We start from the raw sequence: 7,667 nt of genomic DNA, 5'->3' as shown, positions 1-7,667 counted from the left end.
AGCTGGAGCTCGTGCAGCCTAATGAAACTGTGGTGCAGTGGCGTGGGCCCCGGACTTGGAACAAAAAGCCCTGGGGCACCTACGTGACTTAGAGGACCAGTGTCCCCATCTGCAGAATGAGGGCATTAAAACATGTTAAAACATAAAAATGAAGGTGGCTTCTTAAGGTCCCTCCACCGCCAAAGATGAATTCTTTCAGCAACAGGGCAGTCAAGCTTTAATCTGAATTTATAAATGAGCACCATACTGTAAATCCACTAGGGGGCAGTAACTGTTCGCATTTGGATCCACTGATCCGCAGGCCTTGAACTACCATGACACCTTTATTAGGAAAGCAAGAGGCAGGTGGGTGGGATAAGGAATCTGGTTTTCCCCTCCATACCAAGCTACAATAAAGCCTTATGAATCGTGGCCATTTGGGGCAATAAAAAAATGAGTATTTTGTTGTTTTCTGCATCAGCTTGAATTTCCCTGGATTTTACCCTTTACCCATGAGGATGGATCTCTTTTTCTTTTTCTTTTTTCTTTCAGACAGTTTCACTCTGTCACCCAGGCTGGAGTGCAGTGGTGCAATCTCACCTCACTGCAACTGTCGCCTCCCAGGTTCAAGCGATTCTCCTGCCTCAGCCTCCCAAGTAGCTGGAATTACTGGCATGTGCCACCACGCCCGACTACTTTTTGTATTTTTAGTAGAGACGAGGTTTCACCATGTTGGCCAGGCTGTTCTGGAACTCCTGACCTCAAGCGATCCGCCTGCCTCAGCCTCCCAAAGTGCTGGGATTACAGGTGTGAGCCACCGTGCCCGGCCTCATCTCTTTTTCTTAATATGTTACTTGTTAAGTTTCAGAATTTCAGACCTGAAGGGACCCTTTGCAGTTGTGGTGAGTAGCTAGCTCAAGGCAATGGCAAGTAAATGGCAGGACCAGGAATACAAACCATCAAGTCTATTTTCTCAGCTGTATGATGAGACGTGATCTCTGAAGTTCCTTTAGGTCTAAGAGTCTGGCTCTCTGGTCTTCATTATCCAGACTGATTTCTGCTTCCCTGTGGTGGATCTAAGCATTAAATTGGGCTGGTAGGTTGACTTTTCTGAATATGGAGAGCTGGATTATCTAAAACTTTCTCATCAGAATGGAATTTAATTAAATCTTATTAAATCCATTGTATCACATTAAATCTCAAGTTGCATTCATTAAAATGGTAGTTCTCTGGACTTTTGGATTTCACAGAGTAGCAAAATTTGCAAATACGTTTAAGCATTGAGTTAATTTTATTAAGTAAATATGTATGGGTTTTTTTTTAACACCTATCTCTTATTATCCTACTATTATAAAAGACATTTAAACTCAAAAAGAAGAGGGCATGCAATCTCAGAATACGTCAAAGTGACACAAATAAATTCCTTTATGAGGCCAGGCACGGTGGTTCACACCTGTAATCCCAGCACTTTGGGAGGCCGAGGCGGGCGGATCACCTGACGTCAGGAATTAGAGACCAGCCTGGCCAACATGGTGAAACCCTATCAATACTAAAAATACAAAAATTAGCTAGGCATGGTGGTGGGCACCCATAATCCCAGCTACTCAGGAGGCTGAGGCAGGAGAATCACTTGAACCCAGGAGGTAGAGTTTGCAGTGAGCCAAGATTGCACCACTGCACTCCAGCCTGGGCGACAAGAGTGAAACTCCATCTCAAAAAAAAAAAAATTCCTTTATGAAAAACTCATTGCATTGTTCTTATTTTTCTCGTATTGTACAAATCAGTAAAATCCTTGTCAGCCACTGGATCCAGCCTACAGATCAGCCTTGAGAACGTCTGCTTAAAGCAACTGACAATGTTATAAAAGTTCCTCCACAAAAGAGCTCTGCTGCCTGTGAATGCCTCCTTGAAGAGACAATGAAGGCAGAACACATATCCAAGCTGGGCAAAAGAAAACAGTGGGGGTCAAAAAGTATGTCTTTAAAGCTGCACTTCCAAAGAACTTCCTGAGAGATTTGTAATTTCTATTTCTGTATGATAAAACACTATTGGTGAGGCATGGTTGTTCATGCCTGTAATCCCAGCATTTTGAGAGGCCAAGGTGGGCGGATCACCTGAGGTCAGGAGTTCAAAACAAGTCTGGCCAACATGGTGAAACCCCGTCTCTACTAAAAATTAAAAAAAAAATTAAAAAAAAAATTAGCCAGGCATGGTGGTGCATGCCTGTATTCCTAGCTACATGGGAGGCTGAGGCAGGAGAATCGCTTGAACCCGGGACGGGGAGGTTGCAGTGAGCCGAGATCATGCCACTGCATTCCAGCCTGGGTTATGGAGCAAGACTCCCGTCTCATAGGAAAAAAAAACAAACAAAAAAACCCTACATTCTTAAGGCCTAAAATGTACTAAAAATAAAACAGGAAAACAAAAATGGGGGTAGGGTTCCTTCTGTGAATGCAAACATGCTTGACCAATGAGATGTAGTTGAAAACCTAGACCACTGGTACAGACTGAATTGTGTGGACTCTCCATACTCACATACAGCAGATGCAGAGAAGGGCACAGAGGGAGGGAGTGATAAATCTGAAGATAAATGGAGAATTCAGAATTCTCGCTTTGATGTACTCAGTGGCTTTTTGGCAAACCGTCTAATCCCAGTCTGCAGTTTGAAAGAACACGCTATAATTGTTAGCAGCACCCACTCAGATAATGCTGGAACTTGTTTGTAAATAAAGTTCCAGCTTTGACAAACCACATGCTCCTCACAGCCATTTATGCACTTTGCTTCATCTGTCTCTTATACTGTCTGAGAAAAAAATAGAGATGGGGGGTCTCACTATGTTGCTTAGGCTGGACCCGAACTCCTGGACTCCAGCCCATCCACCTGTCACAGGGTGAACCCCCACATTGGAGTTCAGCCCAGGAGGCGACGTGAGTTCTTGGCTTTGCACAGGAAGGAATTCAAGAGTTAACAGAGTAAAGTGAAAGCAAGTTTATTTTAAAAGTAAAGGAGTAAGAGTGGCTATGCCATCGGAAGAGCAGCCGTGAGAGTTGCAGGTTGCTATTTTTATGTTTGTTTCTTGCTCACATGCTAAACAAGGGTGGCTTATTCATGAATTTTCCAGGAAAAGGTCAGAGAATTCCCAGAAATGAGAGTTCCTCCCCTTTTTAGACCATATAGGGTAACTTCCGGATGTTGCCATGGCGTATGTAAGCTGTCGTGTTTCTGGTGGGAGTTTCCTTCACCATGGACAAATCATGGATTATGATTAGTGTATAATGAGCGGTGAGAGGACCAAGGGTCGCTTTCATCACCATCTTGGTTTTGGGGGGTTTTGGCTGGCTCCTTTACCACATCCTGTTTTATCAGGGGGGTCCTTGTGACCTATGTCTTGGGAAACAAGTCCTGCCAAACTCCTATCACACCCCCACCTCAGCATCCCAATAGCACAGAGTGCCCTTGTCTGCATTTGCCACATGTGAGTAGTCACCTGTATTAGTTCATTCCCACACTGCTATGAAGAAATACCTGAGACTGGGTAACTTATATAAAGGAAAGAGGTGTTTTGTTGTTGTTGTTGCTGGTGGTTTTTGTTTGTTTGTTTTTGAGATGGAGTCTCCCTCTCTTACCCAGGCTGGAGTGCAGTGGTACGATCTCGGCTCACTGCAACCTCTGCCTCCCAGGTTCAAGCAATTCTCCTGCCTCAGCCTCCCAGGTAGCCTGGATTACAGGCACCTGCCACCATGCCTGGCTAATTTTTTTGTATTTTTAGTAGAGACAGAGTTTCGCCATGTTGGCCAGGCTGGTTTTGAACTCCTGACCTCAAGTGATCCATCTGCCTCGGCCCCCATGCCTGGCCTAAAGGAAAGAGGTTTAATCGACTCACAGTTCCACAGGGCTGGGGAGGCCTCATGAAACTTATAGTCACGGCAGAAGGGGAAGCAAACACATCCTTCTTCACATGGCGGCAGGAAGGAGAAGAATGAGAGCGAGGGGGTGGGAGGGAAGCCCCTCATAAAACCATCAGAGCTCGTGAGAACTCACTATTGCGAGAACAGCATGAGGGTAACCACCACCAGGATTAAATTATCTCCCACCAGGTCCCTCCCATGACATGTGGGGATTGTGGAAACTACAATTCAAGATGAAATTTGGGTGGGGACACAGCCACATCATACCATCACTAGGAAGATCAAGACGTGATTAAAGGGTTAAAGCTTTCAGTTCCACCCCATGACTTTCAGGGGAGGGAGAGGGGCTGGAGATGTAGTGAATCACTCACGATCAGTGTTTTCCTTAATCATGCCTATGTAATGAAGCTGCCATAAAAACCCTAAATGATGGAGATGGGGTTCAAAGAGCTTCCAGGTTGGTGAATGCATCCACGAACCAGGAGGTTGACACACTCCAAACTCCACAGGGACAAACACTCCTGCATTTGGGACCCTTCCAGAGACCTCTGCCCTGTGTACCTCTTCATCTCACCGTTCATTTGTATCCTTTATAATAAACAGGTAAACATAAGTAAAGTGTTTCCCTGAGTTGTCTGAGCTGTTATAGCAAATTATTGAACATGAAGGGGGCTTAGGGGAACCCTTGATTTATAGCCATGTCAGACGGAACTGTGGGTCACCTGGGGACCCACTACTTGTGTCATCATCTGAAGGGGGAACAGTCTTGTGGGAAGTAAGCTCCTAACCTGTGGGGTCTCCCCTAACTCTGGGTAGTGTCAAATTGAATTAAATTGTGGGAGACCCAGTTGTTGTATGCAGAGTGTTAACAGAAAAACCAAACACTAAAATATTAAAAGAGGTTTATTCTGAGCCAATACGAGTGACCATGGCTTGGGGAACAGTCTCAAAAAGTCCTGAGAATGTGCCCAAGGTTGTTGGGTTATGGTTTGGTTTTATAAATTTTAGGGAGACAGGAATTTTAGGTAAAATCATAAATCAGTGTATACAGACTAAAGAGGTGGGATGTCTTGAAGTGGGGCCTCTATTATAGGTCATTGGTAGGTTCAAAGATTTTCTGATTGGCAATTGGTTGAAAGAGCTAAGCTTTGTCTCAGTAGAAAGAAATGCTTGCAATAAGATAAGGTGGGTTGTGGAGGCCAAGATTCTTGTTATGTAGATGAAGCCTCCTAGGTAGCAGCCCTCAGATAGAATAGATGGTGAATGTCTCTTTTCAGATCTTAAAGGTGTCAAGACCCTAATTTAGCCTTTCCTAGGTCCAGAAAAAGCCTAGAAAGGGAAGGCCTGGCTGCATTGATGAAAATTCTCTGCAGATGCAAATCCCACCCCCACCCCAAAAGACAGCTTTGTAGGGCCATTCCAAAATATTCAAAGACATCTATTTTGGACTAAAATATTTTTATTTCCTTCATGGTTTGCCATCTGTCATGTCATGCTATGCCAGTCAGCCTGGAATTTGGCATCTCACTGCCATAGTTTGTTTACTCAGTCTTATAATCTTTATTTTAATGTTCATGCTGGTCAACTGGGCCTAAACTCCAAAAGGGAGAAGGTGTCATGAAGTGTATCTGACCTCCCTTCCCGTCATGGCTGGGAATTCCATTTTTCAGGTTTCTCTGGGGTCCTCTTGGCCAAGAGGGGATCTATTCAGTTGGATAGGAGGCTTAGAATTTTATTTTTGGTTTACAAGAGAGTTGGAGAATGACTTGGTGTAGGAAACTCACATAGTTGATGTCAGAAGTGTTGTAAAAGTAGAAGGAATGTATTTTTCTTTATATGGATTTCCTACCAGAGTGATGTTTTCTAATTTATAATTATTCCAATTTGAAGAGATCCCACTAGTATTAAAAATGCTGGGCCAGGTGTGATGGCTCATGCCTGTAATCCCTGCACTTTGGGAGGCCAGGGCAGGCAGATAACTGGAGGTCAGGAATTTGAGACCAGCCTCCAACATTGCAAAACCTCCTCTCTACAAAAATACAAAAAAAAGAATTAGCCAGGTCTGGTCGTGGGCGCCTGTAATGCCAGCTACTGAGGAGGCTGAGACAGGAGAACTGCTTGAACCTGGGAGGCGGAAGTTGCAGTGAGCCGAGATCGCACCACTGCACTCCAGCCTGGGCAACGAGCGAAAACTCCATCTCATTAAAAAAAAAAAAAGTGCTGGCCGGGCATGGTGGCTCACGTTGGTAATCCCACCACTTTGCAGGACAAGATGGGAGTATCACTTGGGAGTTTGAGACCAGCCTAGGCAACATAGAAAGACCCCATCTCCACAAAAATAATTTTAAAATTAGCCAGTCATGGTGGCACACAACTGTAGTCTCAGCTACTCAGGAGGCTGAGGTGGGAGGCTCTCTTGAGCCCCAGGACTTCGAGGCTACAGTAAGCTATGATCACACTGTTGAACTCCAGCCTGGGTGACAGAATGAAACCTTGCCCCTACAAAATTAACATTTTTAAAAAGAAACACCGTGTGAGGACTCCCAAGCTCAAATAATTTAGTAAAGTCTTTGATACTAAATATAAAACACGGTCCTTTTTACATTTTGTCAGGGAGCACACTGGTAAGCCTGTGAAACCCATCATAGCTCAGCTTCTTAGCCACCATTGTAGGTTTTTACACGAATTTTTCAGACCTCCTTAATTGTACTGTCAGAAGGATGCATAAATTGAGCTACTTAAATTAAATATTTATGGATTGAATTTTAAGCTTTTAAGCTTGGATTTGATCATACTAGCAGATCTTTCTCCTTATTTATCAAAAATGACAAGCCCAGAAATAGCCCTGGTTGGAGATCAGTATCATTGTGCTCATAAGTTTGGTTTGAGGATAAATTGAGGCCTTGCATAAATAATCTCTCTTCATTATAGCATTGACCATCTTAGCTATATTTTACAGATTCTTCAGATGGCCACAGTGAATGGTTTGGTCATGAGAGTCTTCTCTGGGAAATAAACATACAGCTGGAGATCCCTATTAGGCTGAGGACATAAATAAATCAATGTTTTCTGGTTTGCACTGTAGCTCCAACACGTTAAAAGAAGAGGAGGAGGTGGAGGAGAAGGAGGGAGGGAAAGAGGGACGGGAGGAAAAAAATACACAGAAGAAAATACTCAAATCATAAAAGAAAGTTTAACCCAAAATATATGTGGATTGGAAAGTATTATGGATAAACCCTAAACATAGTTCTTAAAACTGGAAATTTGGCCTGGCATGGGGGCTCACACCTGTAATCCCAGCACTTTGGGAGGTTGAGGCAGGCGGATCACCTGAGGCCAGGAGTTTGAGACCAGCCTACCAACATGGCAAAACCCCATCTCTATAAAAAATACAAAAATTAGCCGGGCATGGTGGTGCATGCTTGTAGTCTCAGCTACTTGGGCTGCTGGGGTGGGAGAACCGCTTGAGCCTGGGAGGCGTAGGTTGCAGTGAGCTGAGATCGCACCACTGCACTCCAACCTGGGTGATAGAGTGAGACTCCATCTCAAAAAAAAAAAAAAAAAAAAAAAGCTGGCAATTAGTAGGGGCATTCAGAGTGCTCTCTAGACACTGTGTGTGCCTAATAAAACCAGGAGCCCGGGGGTATTTCTGCCTCTAAGCAAACAGGAAACAATAACTGCTTGGGATGTAGAGGGCTTCTTGCCATGACGTGTCCCCTGAACTTGAAGTTATGCCCAAAGGTCTCATTACCTCAGAAGAGATGAAAAAAAAATTGTAG

General features: G+C 44.1%; 1 annotated feature.

Moving 5' to 3' along the window:
• Positions 4,873–5,374: an enhancer, noted in NCBI's record as "NANOG hESC enhancer chr11:61870547-61871048 (GRCh37/hg19 assembly coordinates)". NCBI's record gives its function as "activates a minimal SCP1, AML or CMV promoter by ChIP-STARR-seq in primed H9 embryonic stem cells {active_cell/tissue: H9 hESC(primed)}" and the evidence as "EXISTENCE:reporter gene assay evidence [ECO:0000049][PMID:30033119]".

Source organism: Homo sapiens, chromosome 11 (assembly GCF_000001405.40).
Source record: "Homo sapiens chromosome 11, GRCh38.p14 Primary Assembly".
NCBI classification, from domain to species: Eukaryota; Metazoa; Chordata; class Mammalia; order Primates; family Hominidae; genus Homo; species Homo sapiens.
This window is presented reverse-complemented; position numbering and strand designations above follow the sequence as displayed.